Genomic DNA, 21,807 nt, shown 5'->3' with positions numbered 1-21,807 from the left:
GTGAAATACATTCCTTATCTGGTACCTTTCTTGGATGACCCATAATTTGAAGATAAAATATCTTGGGGAGCTACTGGAGTGAAAGATCCATGGAGGTAGGCTGACATGTTTGTCTTATCTCTGCCGTATCCCCACTGCCCAGAACATAGGAGACACTCGATGAATATTTTTAAATGGACACATAAGTTTATTAAACTTTTACATGAAAAATAATACCTTTTTATTTTAGAAGTTTTAGGAGAAACAGAAAGACAAGAAGTAAAAAAGATGATACTACTTAAAGATAATCGTTAACATTTTGGTATATTCTTCCTGACATTTTTCGCTATGCGTGTATATATATTTTCTTTTTACAATATGCTATACCTACAGTTTTCTAACCTGTATATTTTCTTACTTACAATGTATTCAATGTATATATTATATGCCATCAAATGTTTTTAACTACATCATTAATTATGGCTGTGTAATATTGCACAGTAAGAATGAATGACAGTTTCTGTAACCAATCCCACTAGAAAACATTGCCAATGCAGTAAATGTTCCATTTCAGCATTTGGGAAAAACAGGGCATTATGGTTACTAGTTGAGTGAGCATCTAGGGCCAGAATTCAGTGAAAAAGACTTCTTAAGTCCAGAATCACACAGAACATTTTTTAGCCTTTCTTGGATGGACTAGGAACATTCTAAAAATGACTTTCTGTGTAGTAGTAAATGTTACCCTTTAGAAGAGTTACATCTGTGCTAGGCTATCAAACAAAACAGTAGGCCTGGTGTTTCTGGTGTCAAGAGGGGAACTACAACCTAGCCTCTTAATACCAACACATGGCTCTTGCTGATAGAAAAAAGAGATGGTTGCCATATTGATTTGCATATGAGGCTGAAAATTGTACATGGGAATTGAGACGAAATATTCCAATTCGTCTGTTTGCTTATTTTATCTGAGAAAACCTGCCCCTCATTTTAAGTCCCTGCCTTAGGTAGGGTGGCAGATTTAGATTGTGTGATGAAGAGCAGAGGTTTACTTTCAAGAAAAACTGACCCCGTTTGACAAGTGCGTAGGATATCATTTCTAAGACTGGTTTTGAAATTAGTTTGTGCTTAAGCAGCTGGGTGTGGTGGCTCCTGCCTGTAATCCTAGCACTTTGAGAGGCCGAGGTGGACAGACCACTTGAGGCCAGGAGTTCAAGACTAGCCTGGCCAACCTGGTGAAACCCCATCTCTACTAAAAATACAAAAAAATATATTAGCCAGGTGTGGTGGCGAGTGCCTGTAATCCCAGCTACTCGGGAGGCTGAGGCATGAGAATTGCTTGAACCCAGGAGGCGGAGATTGCAGTGAGCCGAGATTGTGCCACTATACTCCAGCCTGGGTGAAGAGTAAGACACTGTCTGAAATAAAATAAAAATTTGTGCTTAAGATTCATGATAAAACCTGGTACATATGGTGGTCAGGCTAAGTGCTGAATAGTGCCAGGGATGGCCATTTGTATCATGGTCTATGGGAACACCATACTTGGTGGAGCTTGTATATCTGACAAAAGAAAGAGAATTCCTACTGGTGGCATGGAGCTGCCCCTGACCCATCCACACAATTATATTTCATATATCTTACAACACATTATAAAGTTCCCATCTGGAAATTGCCACAGAGTGTAAATCAAAATAGGTTTCTCCAGAACCAACTACTACTATTGAACATGTTCTGCAAGTGGTGACTTTAATAGAAAATCCACAACATCTCATCTCTAGATGGAAATTTCATCAATAAGGTATTTTAGATGATTTATGTGACATTGTCTGCAAGCCTGTTTCACAGCCTAAGTGAATGTGTTCTGTAAACTATAAGGATTACACAAGGTTATGATATATGGGACAGGTTCAATATCTAGTAATTTGCTATAATATTTTCAGTTTGTTTGCTCTAAAATTTTATCTTTATTTTTATATTTTTCCAATATAGAGTCTTGCTGTGTCACCAAGGCTGGAGTGCAGTGGCACAATCTCGGCTCACTGCAACCTCTGCCTCCCAAGTGGCTGGGATTACAGGTGCGTGCCACCATGCCCGATAATTTTTGTATTTTTAGTATAGAAGCTGTTTCACTATGTTGGCCAGGCTGGTCTTGAACTCCTGGCCTCAAGTGATCCACCTGCCTCAGCCTCCCAAAGTGCTGGGATTATAGGCGTGAGCCACCACAACTGGCCTAAAAATTTATTTAAGATAAAATACTTCTAATAAAATCTCTGACCCAGAACTAAACTTCTCAGAATATAACCAATTACATAAAGAAAACATTGATCTAAGTCAATTTGAGGTCATTGTTGATTACCATGAGGTGAAAGTGCCTTATTTCATGCTGCCCAAGGGATAAAACATGCCTTACAAGTTTGAAACTTGGAGGCAGGGGTTGGAGCAGGGAGGAAATGTTTCTTTTCCATCTCTTCCAAGAAGGGTTGATCTGTCCCCTTAGCACTCAGCACAGTGCCATGCATGGGACATGTTCTTAGATGCTCCCAGATAAGGAAGAGAGGATTAGTATATGGCGAGGATCTGGGTCCTCCATGATCCTCTATGAGCCCACAACGATCCTTCGGCTGATGGCTCCTGGCAAGGTGTAGATGAAAAGGACGAGGAAGATGATGAGGATGATGAGAATGAAAGCAATGATGATGTACTTTTTGTAATTCTTCCAGATGAGGTAGTACAGGCACTTAAAGGGGCTCATGAACCACGAAAAGGAGGTGTCTGGGCGGCTGAGGGGGAAGGAAGAGAAAATCAAAAAGGGGGCATCCTGTCAACACTCAGAATGCTTAAGACCCCAGGAAGTGTTTCCGACTCCCACTTTCTGAGGACCCATAGGGAGAGCCCTGAAAATGGGAGAAGAGCATGTTGCCTGAAGCAGGAGCAGCCTGACATTTATATGATGAGGATTCCTGTATCATGGTTAAAGGTTGGTGTGGAGCAGAGAGCGAGAGTCCAGTTAGAACCCAGCCCAAGGCCCCACCACCCTCCATCTGTCCAACCTGCCAGCTCAAATCCCACCTTTTCTATGAAGTCTTTCCTGACAGCCTCAGGCCCCAATGATTCCCTTCACTTCAAGTTCCTAACTCATTCATCGCTTGACTCACCCCCTTTTGAAACTACGGAGTCTTCTACGCTCTGACAACTATTTTATGAATGTGTTATTTTCCCCAAATAGATCGAAAGCTCCTGGAAGGCATACTTTATGTCTTATATGTCTTATATTTAGCTTTTTCTTCGAAAAGCTACACAGGTTGGAAAGCACCAATTGACTGCCTCCTGGCTTCCCAGTTCTCCCACAGGGCTGCTCTAAAGAAATGCCATTATCAGACACCAGCAAGGACTGCAAAGGCCCCTTCCCATTTCTGATGTTCCCACTAGCAACTCCACTCACTTGGGCTTGGCCAGGGGCTCTGGCTCCTTTCGGGCTTTTCCAACAGGATTTTTCTCAGCTTCTTCTGCTGTAACTAGGTGGAACTCAGCTTCAACCTTGCCCTGCAAAAAGATGCAAAACCTTTTGTTTCCAGTCACAAAGACCCACTGAGCCAATGGCAACCTTCTAGAAGTGTTACCAAGTTGGAGAATTCCAGAAAGTATTTTGATTATCCCGCTGCTTTATTTTGATAAATGTTGTTGCTTTTTTTGGTCCTGGGAGAAGCCATTTTTATGATGAACAGTAAAAGCCTAGGAATGATGTTATTTCAAGATTTGTGGAAGGAAAGGGTCCCATGTGTCCACACAGACACACAAGCTCCGTCACATGTACTACTCTTCTTGTAAACACTTGACATCTGAAAAAATATTACAGTAATTAGAAAGGGGACTGATTACTTGGGTGGCAGACCCTTTTGAATCCGATACAGTCTGTCTTCTCTGTCAGTTCTCAAGAGGAAACTGGTGACAGTGGCCCCACATTTGCTGAATGGCTTTTTTTCTGTCACTCTTCATTCTTTTGGTTGTCCCCACTAGTTATTGTAGGGTTATCCTTTTATTATAGCACTCCCTCCCTCTTCCTGTTCCCTCAATAAGAGATGGCCTATTTTATTTGAAAATTGTGAGTAATGTGTTTCTTTAGAGCACTATGCCATAGTTTCTGTCAGGGATGTATGTCTTGATTTATCAAAGGGTGAGATAGGACCCCCGCAAAAGTTAAGAGCCATTTTCTCTTGTTCACGCCTTCATTCGGCACTTTTGGGGATCCTTTGTATGCCACACACTGTTCTAGGCACTAGAGCCTTAACAATGATTGATTAAGAAAAACAGAATTTCTGATCTCCTGGAGCTCCTATTCTTGGTGACAGAGACGCTCATTTCTCCTGCCTCTTGGTTTTATGCATTGAAATTCAAGGTGATAGGAGGGAGGCAGAGCTGGTAGGAGTGAAGCATTTTATTACACACGATTGCTGATAAAGCTTCTTCCTCTGAATCACACATGGACTGGGCATTACTTGACTTCGGAGGTATGATTGATTTCTTACCCCAATACAAAAATCTGAGATTCTGCTGAGGCAGTGGTCTTGTGTTAACTTACCCATTCACCCTAAAAAGATCAGGACTCATTCACAAGTAGGTTTGGTTGCTGGCAGCCATTATAATATAATCATGGGAGATATAAGAAATATATAGAATACATGGGGTAAGGTTGAGGGATAGAGAGGGAGTGGCAGGGCTGTCTGAATTAGTAAAGAAGTGCAGTGGACTTTTATTACAGGTAAAATCATGAGTTAAAGTCTAGATGGTCTCATTCATCCTTTGAACTGGAACTCTGGCCCAACTCAGAGTAGCATTAAATGTCCTATGACCTAGAAATGTTTCATGAAAACATGTATATATGTAGTCTTTCATTCCCATTGAGAAATCTTAGCCCCATAGGCAATGACTTGCACATATAGGCATTCAGAAAATATTTGAAAACTGTGGGAAAAAATATAAAGCTTCTATTGATTTTAATTCTTCCTTTACACATCCATCAATAGTGGAGTGATAATAATATATCTAACTGTAATTGCAATGCTTTACGGATCACTCACTTTGTCCCAGGTTTGTTTATTCTATTAGTCTATCAATCATAGCAATAAGCAAGGTAGGTCTCCCTTATGTAGATGAAGAAATGAAATCACAGAGATCAAGTAACTTTTCCAAGGTCACACAGGCAACAAGCCAACCAACTGGAATTTGAACCCAGGTCTGTATGATACCAAAGCTCATACTCTTTCCATTATAGCAGGCTGCCTCCCAACTTATTCATCTAATTGCCAGAAAATTGGACTAGAAGGTTTTTAAGAGCCTGCCTAGCTCTAACATGAGATGATTCCATAATTGTCTTCATAATCACCATCCAATGGTATTCGTCTTCTTGAGTCTCAGTTTTCTCATCTGTCAAATGGCCAGATGTTTTCTAGGGCTATCTGGCTCTAACTTCTGGCATTGATGAAAGGCAGAGTTAAGGACTTGATGGCTGGGAGAGACTCAAGAAATAAGTCCAAAACTCATGGAAAAATGGTCTCCAATGTACAAAACAGTCTTATTTCCAGAGATCATTCACAGGTAACTTAAGCTCTGCTGAGCAGTATGTTATACACTAAGAACTTCATCCAGTTCTTCTAATTTGAAGTAGAGTCAGCTTAAGAGGAGCTAACCGATTGCTAGGATCCAGAATGCTTGGAAGAGAGAATAGAAATCAACAGAGAATAAGTTAGGGCCACAGTAAGAGGATTGCAGCTGCCCCTTTGTTCTCTACTCTTAATAAACTCAGCTCTGGCACTTTATAACTTGCATGGTGTTTCATGCATGCCCTTTTTGGCTATAGCACTTTATAACTTGCATGGTGTTTCATGCACGCCCTTTTTGGCTATGGCACTTTATAACTTGCATGGTGTTTCATGCATGCCCTTTTTGGCTATGGCACTTTATAACTTGCATGGTGTTTCATGCATGCCCTTTTTGGCTATCGCACTTTATAACTTGCATGGTGTTTCATGCATACCCTTTTTGGCTATCGCACTTTATAACTTGCATGGTGTTTCATGCATGCCCTTTTTGGCTATGGCACTTTATAACTTGCATGGTGTTTCATGCATGCCCTTTTTGGCTAGCTGACAAAGTAGATGGCGTTTTTATTACCATTTTACAGCCAAGGAAACCAAGGCTTGGTGATATTTGCTAACTGATGTTACAAAACCAGGATTTGCACCAAGGTCCTTTGATGCCAAACTCCATTCCTCTGCTACTTTACATGTCTAAGTGACAACTTGTTCTGGAAGAAAAAAAGTAGGCTACTTATTTAATAATGAATAAATGTGCTGTTTCTGAAATATTCAAGAGGAACCCTGTAATTGCTGTCATTGCTCTGGCATTAGTATATGCTTTTGATCTCTATCTGTGGGTTGGCTTTGGATAGCTTAATATTATAGCATAGCATGGCATGGCATAGCATAGCACAACACATATAGCAAATAGTCAAGTGAATAGGACTTGTGAATAGACAGATCTGCATTTGAAGCCAGGCTCTACAATTTACTAGCTGTGTGATCTTGGGTAAGTCACCTGCTCTCTTTAAGTCTCACTGTACTGAGGCTATTAACAGCATGTACCCTATACGGTTGCTTTGAAAAATAAATGAAATAACACATATGCAGTGCTTAGCCTAGGGCCTGTTAAAGGAAAGCCTTTAACTATGGTAGTTGTTAACTTCAACACTGTTTCATCAATAGAAACATGCAGTTTAACAGAAAACATCTTCTGCCCATAGAGAAAGTACCAGAAAAGTCCCACAGGCCCAGATTCCTATAGGAAAATCAATGCAAAGAAAAAGGAGGCAGAGAATATTAAATTACTTCTGTCCTAGAGATAGGTGTCATTTGTTATCATCATGAAGAGCCTTGCGCCAGCTCCACCACCCTGCTAGAACGGTCGCAATGCATCTATCGGGCATTGGGAAGGCTGCAGGGGAAAGGTGTTTACTGACAGCTTCGATAAATGCCGCTGCTCTGGGTATCGTTCTTCACAGAGGTTTCCTGTCCTGTTTCAACCATCAGCATTCAGCTCAGCACCAAGGAGAGGTCATAAGCTAATAATATCCTCTAAATGTAATTTAAAATCAGAGCTAATAAAAATAGACAGTTCAAGAGACTATCTAGTAGCCTAATGATATCCGTGGATGGGAGACAATAAAAAAAGCTCCTTGAGAAGACTGGATTTGTCATACCACATATATAATGTGCCAAACTGCACCATGCCTACAGAAGGGATGCCTTCAGAGGCTGAGAAGTGATTGCATTTGGAATGGACATGCCTTCAGCAATGATTATTCCTTATTAAAACACACCCCTGACTGGAATTACATGAGGCATTCTCATATGCTAATGGAGGAAAGTATGCTGACAAAATCTTTTAGGAAAAGGAATATATATATATATATATATATATATATATATATATATACGCACACACACACTGCATATATATGTATACATGTATTTAAGTGTATATATAGTTACATCCACATACATGCATGTACATACATATATAAGATCATGTATGACCACAAAAATACACATGTAGTTATATACAAATATATACATGCATACAACTACATGTGTGTATTGTATGTCATATATAATCTTATATGCTGAATGTAGGAATTCCATTTCTGGATAGCTAAGTTAAGGAAATAATTCAAAACTCAGAAAAAGTCTTATGTACAAAGCATAGTCATTTTTCTTTTGGATGTTCAAATTGTCCTATTTGCCCCACTGAGATATCCCAGACTCATTTTGGATTTTATCTGCCCTAGACCTGGAGTCAGCCATTTCCCCAAAAATCCCTGATTTTTGTTTCTTTGGTTGGTTGGTTTTTAGTAGGAGCTGATGTATAGAAACCAGGATCTACGTGCTAGGAGTCTTCTTTGCTACTGGGTGATTTTACTTCTAGATTCTTCAGTGGATGGAGCTTACAACATATTTGTTAAAAATCCATGAATCTATAGTGATAACAATAACAACAAAAAAAGCAAGGGAAAAATCATTAGAGATGACTCTTATACCAACTCTGAATTCTAAAATTTGGTTATTAAGTGATATAATTATGTATTTGTCCTATCTTTTTGGGGGGTGGGGGAGGAGGGTGACTGATTTATTTCCAACTGATGAGGGAAAGCTCTTTTTAACAGATAAATGCCAACCAATAAATGGAGAAAAAATGATAGTAGATAGGTAAATAGATCGATCAATAGCTTAGACAGACAGATGTAAGGAAGGGTTAGAAAAATTTTTATAAAACCAATGAAATAATTAAGATTGCCAGTAGTTATTAAAGCCTTTGGGTAGAGCAGAACAGGAATTCCCCACACCACCACGTTACCCTTTGCTAACGGCAGAGGGGAAAATGTGCCTTTACAGTGAAGAAATCTTGTATTTACCAACATAGTCAAGTGAGCAAACACAGCATCACTAATAGTGAGCCATCTGATAGCATGTGCCTCCTGGCATGATCCGCTATGGAGTAAACAGTATCACATATTAAACAACTTGATAAATGCTGTTGTATCTAACTTACACTTCACGGGAAATACAGAGGATAGAGAATAAGATAAGCAATATGATGAGAAAACAACCAGATAAAGCAAGCCTAGTCTCATCAAATAGTCAACATGAGGGGAAAATGTCAGAAGATTGTTTTAACATAGACCAAAGAGATATAATAATGCAAAGCAGTACATAAACCATGATTGAGTCTTGTTTTGAAAAGGAAACAGCTATATAAGACATTTTGGGGGCAATAGGGCATTCTTTTTCTAGATGGAGACATGAATATGGTGTGGATATCAGATTATATTAGGGAATCATTATTTACTTATATGTGGTGACAGCATTGTGGTTATGTAGGACACTGTCTATATTCCTGAGAGATGCATGCTGAGGTATTTAGGGGTAGAGTGACAGAATGTCTACAGCTTAAATTGTTCAGTCAAAAAATAGGCATATATACATACAAATACTCAAATATACTTCATATATCAATGGAGTATACCCAAATATATTGACAAAATAAATATGGCAAAATATTAGCAAGTGTTGAATCTTGGTGGTGGATCTATGGCTGATCATTGTTCCATTTCAACTTTTCTGTGTGCTCAAATTTTTTAAATGAATAAATGTTGAGGACAAACACAATAATTAAACTGGCATTTTTATTTTGAGAATATAAAGAGTTAATAATATTGCTAGTATAATGTAGGGGAATGCTCATTAGAAAACTGAGTGGAACAAAATGAAGAGGCACTATTTTAAGTATGGAATGATTACTATTATGTAAAGGGAACTAAAATTTATGCATAGAGAAAATATTAGGAATAACCAAACCATTAGCAAGTTTTCTTTAGATGGTATACATATGTGTGCTATTTTTTCTACCTTTTTGTGCTTTTCAAATTTCCTATACATTCACATTATACACCCTATCTTAAAAATCTTTATATAAAAATATCTCCCTTGTCTGCTCTTGTCTGATCTTGCTAAATACTATTTAAATGATCTATCTACCACCATCCCCAGCTAAGTTGTGAACTTCAGGATGCTAAGAATTTATCTTATTCACTGTTGAAACTTTAGAACATAACATATAAGTATGTAGCCATAATAGATGCTGACAGCTGTTTTTCACATCAAACTGGAAGCATAGAAACCTCCCTTAGAGTTTTGGTTGTTGATGTACCAGGGATAGAATTTACCTTGGCTGCCTGTCCATTTGTGGGATTAACTTGTAAAATAAATGTTTTAATCTTTGTCTCTTAAAAGAGTGATTTCTTAAAGGTTGCTTTGAGTAGGATGACTTGGGATAAGGCATATAAATTGCATAGTGCAATGTGCTTCACGAAGAACATGGTCGTAGATATTCCCTTTCTTTCTCCCAAGGGTCCCCATTCCTCAGCAATCCCGTGGAGCTGTTTTTCATTTACTGTGAGGAAAGCCACATTCCACATTCCACACTAGAAGCTGTGTGATCTAAATGTCTAAATGATACTGCTGGGGGGACACTGATAAGCAGCTTTAAAAATAAATCTGGCAGGTGGCAGTGGCCATAAACAAACCCTCTCTCGCCTGCCAGCAACTAAAACCAGACAGCCATGTTTGAATGCTGGCTTCAAAGAACGGGAGGAGAGTGCACACGGAGTTGGAATTAGAGAATGTCTAGGCTGGACATGCATGTTGGAGGCACCCAGTCTAACCTAGTGATTTTATACACATGGAAACAGAAGTGCCCCCAGGTATGGCAGGAGTTTTCCATTACACCATTTACTCTGGACCACCTAACTTGCTACCCTATTAGGAGAAAGTTATTTTCTTAATATGGTTATTGGTTACTTAAGGGGGAAAGAGTGTCAGAGGCATTTGAACCAGAGCAACTCCATCTTGAATAGGAGCTGGGTACAATGGAGCTGAGACCTACTGGGCTGCATTCCCGACGGTTAAGGCATTCTAAGTCACAGTATGAGATTGGAGGTCAGCACAAGATACAGGTCATAAAGACCTTCCTGATAAAACAGGTTGCAGTAAAGAAGCCGGCCAAAACCCACCGACCAGAGAACAAGAGTGACCTCTGGTCATCCTCACTGCTACACTCCCACCGGCGAGTGCCATGATAGTTTACAAATGCCACGGTAATGTCAGGAAGTTACCCTATATGGTCTAAAAAGAGAAGGCATGAATCCACCCCTGTTTAGCATATCATCAAGAAATAACCATAAAAATGAGCAACTAGCAGCCCTTGGGGCTGCTCGGTCTATGGAGTAGCCATTCTTTTATTCCTTTACTTTCTTAATAAACTTGCTTTCTCTTTACAGACTTGCCCTGAATTCCTTCTTGCCCAAGATGCAAGAGCCCTCTCTTGGGGTCTGGGCTGGGACCCCTTTCCTATAACAAGAGGACAAGGGTAGCTGGAATACATCCCTTCTGCAGGCCAAAGCAGGGCTTTCAGGACCAGGTTCCACGCTGCTCAGCCAAGGCTCTGACCATGGGCCACTGGTATGCATGAAGATGAAGTCAATTCTTATTTTCCCTTTAGGAGGTGTAAGGGCAACAAATAAAAATTAAAAATGAGAGGCTTAGTTCTCCCTGTTGAAAATGGGAAGAGATTTCCTTCCCCCTTTTCTTTTCTCTTAGAGCATTTACTTTAGAAAAGTTGTAAGTACTTTCTCTTCTCTCTGTAACGTATATAAATTGTTTTGAAAGCTGACAGGCCTTTTGTCTTTAACACCCAGGAATGTTTTTTTCAAGGATCTGAGAACCATCTCCTTCAAATGTAAACATCGAGAGAATAGCACCCTATACCCCAGTTTCTGTGGGAGGGTAGGAGGCTAACTTTGGTGAGCACTTTGCTCCAAGTTGCACAACTACCTCCTGTCATAAAGATTTGAGAAGACTGATTAAACGACACTGCTGGAGGGGAGGGGGGGCACTGATAACAGCTTTAAAAATAAATATGTTTAAAAAATCTCTGGCAGGTGGCATAAAGATTTGAGAAGTTTGCTTTTCCTTTGGATAAAACTAATCAAGTAACATAAATGGTCATCTCGATGACCATGTGAATCTAGAACAATGTGTGACAAATGGTGCTGTGAATTCCTCCTGAGAACTAGTTATATTTTCTCCTGAAAATATGTATGTAATGGGTGATTGCTGCTCAGCTATATAAAAGGAGGAAATTTCTGTCTTTGCAATCTCTTAACGGGTTGCTTTTAGTGACTACTCAATGATAAAACTTTACTAGCTTTTGAGTTGGGAGACTTTGTTTTAAATTGTATTTCCCCCAGAAATATCACCTCAGACTTCACCTCTGTGGTGAAGATGGCTGGTAACCCCAGGACAGTTTGGATGTCCCTTCTGTTTCTATGGCTCTTTGACAGAAAATGAAGTATGGCACAGTGGTTAGGACTCAAGAGTGTAGAAGTGAACTGCTTGTGTTTGAATCTCATCCTTCCTGACTAGCTGTGTGCTATGAGGCAAGTTACTTAAGCTTGCTGTGCCTCAGCTTCCTTCTCTATAAAATTGGGATTGATTATATATTTTTTCAGGGGGTTTTAGCAGATAAATGAATTAGTATACATTCAGTGTTTAGTGCTGTGGAAATGAACAAAGATCACCAAGATAAGAACAAACAGAGGCTATTTATTTAGAGCTACCATCACTTAGGTAGAGAGGAAGATACAAGAAAAGGGAAGTCATTGGATGTGTTCTGACTGAAAGGTGCTCGTGTGGGGAAACTGGAAGCAGGCTAAGTAGGGGGCCGTCATATGTGATTAGTTAGGGGAACATATATTAGGGAAGCCTGCAGTCATTGCCCAAGCTCTGATGGTTTGGGGCTGGTTGCTGCAGAGGTTGTAGCTTTATTGTCACGTGTGGTCTGACCACTGCTGTTTGTATGTTCAGTCTTTCAGAACTGGTTCTGGTAGTCAGTTCATATTAGCAACGCTTGTTACTACCACAGTCAGAGCAGTTGCCGGTTGCTTCTCTTGTCTGTCTTCCCCTCAAGATAGCAGCTTCTTGGGGGCAAGAGTTGCATCCTATTCATCTCTGTATTCAGGATATCCTACCAAAGCCCTGCCCAGGGGAGGCTTTCTGTAACTGTTGAAAAATGAACTGCTGAAGGAGCAACATGATCATCTAGACTCAGGAAAAAACTATGTTGATAGAAATGAAGAGCATTTAATTAGAAGCTCCTATCCTTACTACAGAAAGTGATACAGGAGTTAAGAAGAAATCACTTAGACAGCTAGTAAGGGTATGGGAGTCCTCGGTAAGGCCTTTCTCTTTAACGAAAAGCAGCCCCAAATCATTTTCTAACAAAGAGCAGCCTGTAAAGTCGAACTGCAGACATAAGCAAGCTGGGAGTTTGCACGGGTGAATGCTGGCAGGGACTAGGGACTAGACATGTTCAAGAAGGCGGCTCCATCTTCCCTTCTGTCAGCCACGTGTACAGTAAAGAACTGATAAGATGGTGCCAATCAACTGGAAAGCCTATTTGAATAATAAGATTAGGGTGGAGCAACCAGCCTTTCCTGGGCCCTATGTAAACGTCATACCTGATTGAACCAATCTGTGAGCCCTCTGTAAATCAGACACCGCCTTCTCCAGCCTGCCTGTAAAATCTGCTGCAGTCCGCAGCCTCACCACTTTATTGGACGTGTATCTCTCTCTCAAGGAGCTCCTCTCCTTTCTTCTATTAAACTTTCTACTCCTTAACCCATCCACACGTGTCCATATCCTGAATTTTTTCTCAGCATGAGACAACAAACCCCCAGACAACGTAGCCATTTCAAATCTTTAAAACAATCTCCTGTGAAAATTCATCATCATGGCCAATTCTTCAGGAGAATCATTTATAAAGTAGTTAAGAGTATGTTGCTAGAGGTTCTATTCTTCCCCCCTCCCTCCCTTTTTCTTTTCTTTCCTTTTTTCTATAGAGACAGGGACTCCCTATGTTGCCCAGGCTGGAATGCAAAGGCGTGATCATAGCTCACTGCAACCTTGAACTCCTGGGCTCAAGGGATCCTATTTCCTCAGCCTCCTGAGTAGCTAGGACTACACGTAGGTACCACCATGCCTGGCAAATTTTAAAAATTTTTTGTAGAGACGGGGTCTCATTGTGTTGCCCAGGCTGGTCTCAAATTCTGGGGCTCAAGATGTCCGTCTACTCCAAAGTGCTGGGATTACAGGTATGAGCCACCACACCCAGCCCCATCTTTTTTCTTACATTTACCAAAAGTGTAACCCCTAAGGATTAGATGTTAAAATTGACTAAGATATTTAGGTATTTTGAGTTTGAGGCGTTTCCCTCATCCTGGGGCCCAGAAGGAGATGGGAACAGGGAATGGTCAAAACAGTTTATTGCTGAGTAATGGCTCAAGCGAAAATCTGACATTTATTGAACACTTAGAATCTGTGTGCCTGGAACATACTATCTCATTTCAGGGTTACGACAGCTCATGAGGTGTACATACTTTAATTTTCTCAATCTTTACAGCTAAGAAAGCTGAGGCTCATAGTAAAGTTCAGACAGCTGGTAAATAATAGAGCCAGACTTTGAACCCAAGATGGTTTTTCTTATTAAAGGATGGAATCCAGGAGTCAGTATTTGTTGTTATTATAAACAAGGTCTCACTGTGTTGCCCAGGGTAGACTTGAGCTCCTGGGCTCCAGGGATCCTCGTGCCTCGGCACCCCAAGTAGCTGAGACTACAGGTGCATGCCACTGTGCTTGGCCCCAGTTAGCTTTGAATGCATTGCTTATCTGCTGACCTGGGGCTGTTCTAGGGTGGAATCCACCCCTCTCATTATTACTGATCACAATCCCTAGGACAATCCAGAAAGCTTTTAAAACTTTTAACACAGACATGCATTTTTTGATGCACGGAAATCCTCTGTGGGATCTTAAATTATAAAATGTGCATGTCCTCATAAAAGAGGCTTCTCTTTTATGCTAGGACTATAAGAGGTGATCTGGCCTTAGTGGCTCTGTTAGTTCTTCCCTCATGAGACCAAAGACAAAGAGGGATCTTCAAATGGACCCTCCGAAGCACAAAAGCAGAAAAACTCTGCATTGAGTCAATCAAACCAGACAGTAAATTTCCCACATAAATGTCTCACTTAAGGCCCAGTCATTACAAAACTATTCAACAAATGAATTTAAATCACTATAATAACCTGACATACCTAGGCTCTGGCAAGGCAAGGACAGCATGGAGAGAAGGTAAAAAATCATGGAAATTGCCACTACTCTGGTACCTAGCAGGTGGGGCTCAGATCATAAGCTCAAATGCTTCTACGGATCTTAACACAGTCTAGGAAAACAGACTGCCACAGCCCAAATGTTCATCCATTCGCCACTGTGTAATCTATCTAAATCTTTTGATCCCCTTGCCATTAAAATCTACCTGTCTTCTGTCATTTCTTTATTCCTCTCTGGCTTGTAAGCTGACACTTAGATAATCATATAAATCAATGTGTACTAATGTGTTCATTTTTAAAGAACATTTACTGAGCACTTATGTGCTCAGTACACTGAGTAAACAGAAGGAAACCTTATAATCTCTTGGCCGGGCGCGGTGGCTCATGCCTGTAATCCCAGCACTTTGAGAGGCTGAGGCGGGCGGATCACAAGGTCAGGAGATCGAGACCATCCTGGCTAACATGGTGAAACCCCATCTCTACTAAAAATACAAAAAATTAGCTGGGCTTGGTGGCGGGCGCCTGTAGTCCCAGCTACTAGGGAGGCTGAGACAGGAGAATGGCGTGAACCCGGGAGGTGGAGCTTGCAGTGAGCAGAGATTGCACCACTGCACTCCAGCCTGGGCGACAGAGCGAGACTCTGTCTCAAAAAAAAAAAAAAAAAAAAAAGAAAACCTTATAATCTCTTATACTAGGGTCAATTAATTATTCTTGAATTAATTGATTCATTCAATAAATATTTGAGTATTATGTGCTACGTACCACATTAGACACTGAAAATTAGGAAAGGGAACAGAAAGCAAAAACATACTTTTTGGACTCAAATTGCTGACAGTAGAAGAACCATGAAGTCCATGGACAAGTTCAAATCAGTGTGTCAAGAGATACATGTAGGGAAGTAGAAGGTAAGCCCACCCAGGCTGAGGATACCCAGGAAGGCTTCTCAGAGGGGCAACTGCTAAAAATAATCTCCAAATATTTAAGGACTAGGAGTTTTCTCAGAGAAAGGGGCTAAGGCAATCCAGGCAGAAGGACCAGTCCACAGACCAGACAAGCAAGAGTCCGGGAAGGGTTCAGGATGGTTGAGAGGGGAGCAGTGAGAGATGAAACTGTGGAGGTTTCTAGAGAATCTACACTAACCTGCTTCTCATTCACTCAACAATCCACATTCATCTACTTCTGTCTTTGCCATTCCACTAACATTGCTTTTAAACAATTGAGATATAATTCATATATCATAACGTCCACTCTGTTTTTTTTTTTTTTTTTTTTTTTTTTTTTTTTTGAGACAGAGTCTCACTCTGTCGCCCAGGCTGGAGTGCAGTGGCACGATCTCGGCTCACTGCAAGCTCCGCCTCCTGGGTTCACACCATTCTTCTGCCTCAGCATCCTGAGTAGCTGGGACTACAGGCACCCGCCACCACGCCCAGCTAATTTTTTGTATTTTTAGTAGAGACGGGGTTTCACCAAGTTCACTCTTTTAAATTATACAATTACATAGATTTTAATCTGTTCACAAAATTGTACTGGCATCGCCACTATTTGATTTCAGAACTTCTTTTTTAATCACCCCAAAAAGAAACTCCATACCAGTTGCTCCCCATTCCCCTTCTACCCTACCCCAGTCCCTGGCAACTACTCATCTATTTTCTATGGATTTGCCTATTCTGAGCATTTCACATAAATGAAATCAGACCAGTATGTGGTCTTTCAAGACAGGCTTCTTTCACTTAGCATAACATTTGCAAGGTTCATCCATGTTGTTGCACGTATCAGTATTTCATTCCTTTTCATGACTGAATAATATTCCACTGTATGGATATACTACATTTTAAAAATGGACTCATCAGCTGATGGACATTTGAGTGTTTCTGCTTTGGGGCTATTATGAATAATGCTGCTATGGACATTCACAATGCTGCTTTTTAAAAGGTCACCGGGAACCTCCATGCCGTTAAGTCCAATGGGCACATCTTTGTGGCTTCTTCTTTAAACTCTCAGGAGCACTTGACACAGTAACCAAGTGCCCTTCTCCAAAGAGCCTCCTCTCTGAGTTCCTATTTCAGCACATTTTTACTCTTTTTTCTTACATCTCTGCCTAGTCCTCTCTCTCCAATTTTGACCCTCTTCTGACCATTGTCTACACAGCATTAAGGGGATGTGTTTCCTAGGTGAGGCAGATCCCCTCCCTGCTGGAAACCATGCAATGGCTTTCCTTTGAGAATGAAGTCCAAGCTTTTCACCATAGTCTCGAGGCCTGTGTGATCAGGCTCTGGTGTCCTCCCCACTTCACCAGCACTGCCCTCATGCATCACACGCCAGTTATGGGAGGTTTTTGTTCATTGGGGTTTTAGTTTATCCAAAGCACTAAACTCATTCCTACCTCAGGCCATTCGCCTGTGGAATTTGCTCTGTGGGAAATGCTCTTCCTCCTGTGGCTCACTACATTTCATTCATCAAGTTTCAACTTAGTTTCACAGGCACAGAAAGGCCTTTCCCTGCCACCATAGTGAGTAGAAATCCCTGCATTGGGTAAGCTTTGATTCAGTGCTTTGTCTTCTGCCCAGCCTTTGTTCTGAGTCATTGCTTTCTTGGAGTATGTGTGAGTAGCTAGCTGTGGTTTTGCATGTATATGTCTGCATGTCTGAACTTGACTTTAGACTGTAAGCTCTATGATAACAGAGACCTTGTCTGTATTACTCATGTCTTATTCCCAGGGCCTATCATTTAATAGAAGCTCAGTAAATATTTGTTGGATGAAATGAAGAAATAAGTAAATGACATGGAAAATGAAGAGTAATTAGGATTAAATAACAGGAGTCTGTATATATCTCTCAAAATCTAAAGGGATATAAAATATAATAGCTGCTATTATATGATCATGCATCTAAATTTACTGCTTATTAATATACAGAAATTAGAATGATGTCAAAGGATAAGAGTTTGGACTTCTGGGCCTGGCAGTCCCCATTTGTCAACCTCGTACTGTGCTCAGGAATTTTGATCAGAGGGTTGTTAGCCTTCTACCAGGAGCCACTTTATGCCTCCATACTGTACTCATCATGGTTCTTTCACTTGGAATAGATATCTTCTCTTTTTCATCTATAAAATGCCTTTTCATTGTCCTTTGTCCTGTTTGAACCCTCAACTCCATCAGGACAATTGCATCCCTCCCACCTCTCCATTCCTTCCCTGCATTTCACACCTTGGTTATTCCACGCATGATTGGATGTTGAACTGTTTGTCCCTCTCACTGGACTCTGAGCTGGCTGAGAGCAGAGGCCATGACTCATTCATTTCTGGTTTCATTCTTGCATCCAACAAATATTGATTGCCCATAACCAAGCCCAGAGGCTGGCATGTAGTAAACCCTCATTAACTACTTGAGGGGGAATGGAACTGGCTGGAGCCTCTCCAGCAACCTCACCAATCAAGGGGATCCAATTAAGAATGGATAGAAGAGACAAACTCTCAGAAAATACAATAGAACTAGACACCATGAGGTCAGACCAGCAGCTCCCATTTACCCAGTGAGGTACTAGGGGAATCCCTGCCTCACACCCACTGGATCCTCAGAGCAGAGACAGAAAGAGAAATGGGTCTCTATCCAGACCTGCTACCGGAAAAATCCTGTCCTAGGTGTGCTTTTGCCACAAGGCACTAGAAGCAGAGGGCAGAATGCACTCATCCCAAGGGGAGGCTAGCAGCAGAAAAAAGACCCTGCTATCAGTCTCAGTACCTTTTTCCAACCTCGCTAAGTCATCCCTGCTGGCTTACAGAGGATCAGTGAAGGAGGTGAAAGAACAGGAAGAAGAAACTGTCTTCCCAATATTTGTGAAAGGTCAAAAATTCCTCCAAGCACATACCACACAATCTGACATGCATTGGCAGGAAGTGGACAATTCGGGAAAAGGGATAAATGGCTTCTCCTGCTGTCACCTTCTTTTAAAAGGATGGATCACTTTTTAAATCATGTCTTACATTTGAGGATGAAGGCATAAGGTAATTGCATTGAAATTGTACATTACTCAGGACTTTATGCATAATCTTAAGAAATGTTGAAAAAAAATTAATGCCAGGCGCATAAGTTCAGGCCAAAAGGATAGAAAATCACCTCAACATAGATAGCTAAGTCTTCTTGCATTTATAAAGCTTTAAAAATTCTTGCTTCTTAGCAGAACCTCTGCATGAAGGGTTCATGTCATTTCAAGGCATTTTACTTGAAGTTCACAAAATGACTCAGTGGAAAAGCATGATGCCCCCAACTTCCCCCATCTCCTCCACCTCCCATAGCTGTCACTTACTGTGAGTTCTTTGCTTTTAGAAAAAGGCCACCAGCCACGCACACGTTTTTGCTGGAATATAGAGATCTTGGTCTCCTCACTTGCATTTTCAAACTTGGCAAGATCACAGGCTTTGGCAGACTTAGCTGCTCGAGGGAAACTGTTGAGGTTCATTTCCAGGGTGCCTGTGGAGAGATGACCCTAACAGTTAGGGAAGCATTTTCTAAAAGTAACAGAAGAGCTTCTCAATCACCATCCTCATTCATTCATTCACCCTTCACTTCCTACTCATTCAATCAGTACCATATTGGATCACAACTATGTGCTAGGTATTGGGAGTACAAATAGGACTGAGCCACGTTTGGTGCCATCAAAAGATTAATCACATGGTAGCAGGTAGAAGACAAAGGAAGAGCTTGTTTTAACTCTTAAGTTAACAATACTTAACTTGCAAGCCTCAGCTGCAGGTAGCTTCACTGCTGACCACCTCCTCTGCTCCCTAAGCCTGGATTATTGGCTTCAGCCTTCCCCTGCTTTAGCACTGACAACCCCATGAGAGCCTCCTCACCCCACTTCACCTCTCTCTTGGTGTCCACTAAACCCCTCCAGGTCGGACACTAGTCTTATTGTCTTTGTATCTACTCTCCAGGACAGGAAGTGAACCTTAGTGGGTTCCCAACACTGTTTTTCCAACGAGGGAACACAAGGCAGAGTAAGAGATTGCCATGAGTTCTATATCTCTTTAACCATTTTTTCCTATTATAAATTAACATTTGTTAAATATGGAAAATTCAGAGCATATATACATGGGCAAAAACATGAGAATGGAAAAATTTTTCATAATTTCATCCCTAAAATGTTGACCACTGCTCTGTGTATTGGTGCTTAGCCCTCTCTCTATGACTATCCCTTTCTCCTATACATATAAACGTAGTTTACAGAAATGAGATTTTTCTCTTTTCACTTAATGTATCCTGTACAACTTTCCAATTCATTAGATATTCCCATATTTTTAATGTTTGCAGGACTATCACTTGAGTGTGTAAGCCAAAAATAAAATTTTAAGCCCCCCAACCATCTGAATAGACTCCTCCTCTCCACCAAAGGCATTCTAAAATTAACGTGAAAAGCTAGTTCAGGCCATTGATGGGAAGGGGGAGTCAGATATGCCTCATTACTGTTAACATCAACAAAGACCTTAAGACTCATAGAACAGACTCTTCAAGTCTGATAATCTATCTTCTCTAAAGTCTGTTACGTTGAGGCTTCATATGCATGAAAAAACCTTGGTCTTCACAACCCCTTATCATAACCTAGACATTCCTTTCTATTGATTCCAGGTTTTTAGACAATAACCAATTTCCAATTGGAAAATCTTTGAATCTGCCTACGAACTGGAAGCCCCCACTTCCAGTTGTCGCTAACATACATCTTACATGTATTGATTGATGTCTTATATCTCCCTAAAATGTATAAAACCAAGTTGAGGCCTGACCACTTTGGACACATGTCATCAAGACCTCCTGAGGTTATATCACAGGCATGTCCTTATTCTTGGCAAAATAAACTTCTAAATTGAGACTTGTCTCAGATACATTTTGGCTTACAAATGCTTACTATGTGTGAGGCACTACGGAGTGCTCTTTAATTGTGTTACAACAATTACAGCTCCGCCCCTCTCTGAAGTATGTAATATTACTACCCTCATTTTACAACTGAGACACAGAGCAGACCAGTAATTAGCTCAAAGTTTAATGACTTTTTAGTGATAGATCAACTTAAGTCTTTTAGAATATGTAGTGGTCCATCATGTGGATGTACCATCACTCATTTAACCATTCCCTATTAATGGCTATTTGGGATGTTTCCAGGTTTTTGCTATCATAGATAGTGCTGAAATTATTAGTCTTGTAACTAAATCAGACCAAGCTCTCCAAAAGCTGAGACAAAACCCTTAACATTAATATGTGCTTGATGAAGCCACTGGCTTACCCAGGAAGTCATCTGAGGACAGCCTTTCAAAATCCCAAACCTGCAGCACCAACACAGCAGGAGTCTTACACTCCATCTTCTCTAAAGAGAAGATGTTCTCCCTCTTGGTAATGACCATTTGCTTCTCAGCTGGGAGATACTGAAAGGGAAACAGGAAGCGCCAGTTGAAGTTGCCCTCTCCAGTCAGGGAGTTGTAATGCACATCTGTCTCCTGCTTGTCATCCTCCAAGCCCTTTAACCACCTAAAAATAGATTCAAAATAATTTAAACACTCAGAGTACATTCTCCAGGCATCAGTATAATCATAAGTGATTTAGCTTATTTCAATGTGGTCACAGAGCATAGTTTAAAAATCATTATAATTAGATTCAGTTGGAAGTTTCCATTTTAACTTGAAAGAATAAAATAGGGGTCAGAGGGTCTGCCATAATAGAAAAATGGCTCATTTCAAGGCAGGGTTGGGGAAGGGTCTTCAATTGCTTGTGTAGATCTGAAGCCCCATGCAATCAAGATAGAAAATTCAGGAAATAGGAAGTGAAAATGTAATCTGAATCTCTGTCACCCTGGGAACCCTCTTTGTAAGGGATGCCACCTCTATACTTGAGTGTTAGAACAAGATTACCCACTACACTGAGGACTCTGAAATTGGGCTGCTGTAGACCTGTGCTGTCAGGCATGCACTGGGCTGGTATAGGCTTGGGTTGTCAGACCTATGCCATCAGACTATAATTGGTCCCCTCCTCCCTGGTTCTAGGCCTAGAAAGCCCAGCAGGCCTGGATTGGTGT

At 40.8% G+C, this 21,807-nt stretch overlaps 1 protein-coding gene and 1 long non-coding RNA gene across 9 annotated transcripts in view; one reads left to right on the top strand and one right to left on the bottom strand.

Moving 5' to 3' along the window:
- Positions 1–21,807, top strand: part of FER1L6-AS2 (FER1L6 antisense RNA 2) — a 125,452-nt gene that overhangs the window by 49,163 nt on the left and 54,482 nt on the right. The window lies entirely within an intron of this gene.
- The window catches only part of FER1L6 (fer-1 like family member 6), a 268,075-nt gene continuing 248,566 nt past the window's right edge, over positions 2,299–21,807 (bottom strand). For all 8 annotated transcript variants that reach the window (NM_001039112.2, XM_011517231.3, XM_006716618.4 and 5 more), the window contains 4 exons: positions 21,022–21,263; positions 19,051–19,214; positions 3,416–3,516; positions 2,299–2,753 (listed from right to left, as the gene is read on the bottom strand). In NM_001039112.2, coding sequence (NP_001034201.2) covers positions 2,570–2,753; positions 3,416–3,516; positions 19,051–19,214; positions 21,022–21,263 — 691 coding nt within the window. In that variant the 3' untranslated portion in view covers positions 2,299–2,569. The remainder of the gene's footprint in view (positions 2,754–3,415; positions 3,517–19,050; positions 19,215–21,021; positions 21,264–21,807) is intronic.

The sequence above is a fragment of the Homo sapiens genome, chromosome 8 (assembly GCF_000001405.40).
Source record: "Homo sapiens chromosome 8, GRCh38.p14 Primary Assembly".
NCBI classification, from domain to species: domain Eukaryota; kingdom Metazoa; phylum Chordata; class Mammalia; order Primates; family Hominidae; genus Homo; species Homo sapiens.
The sequence above is the reverse complement of the archived record's forward strand: the minus strand, read 5'-3'. Positions and strand labels throughout refer to the sequence as shown.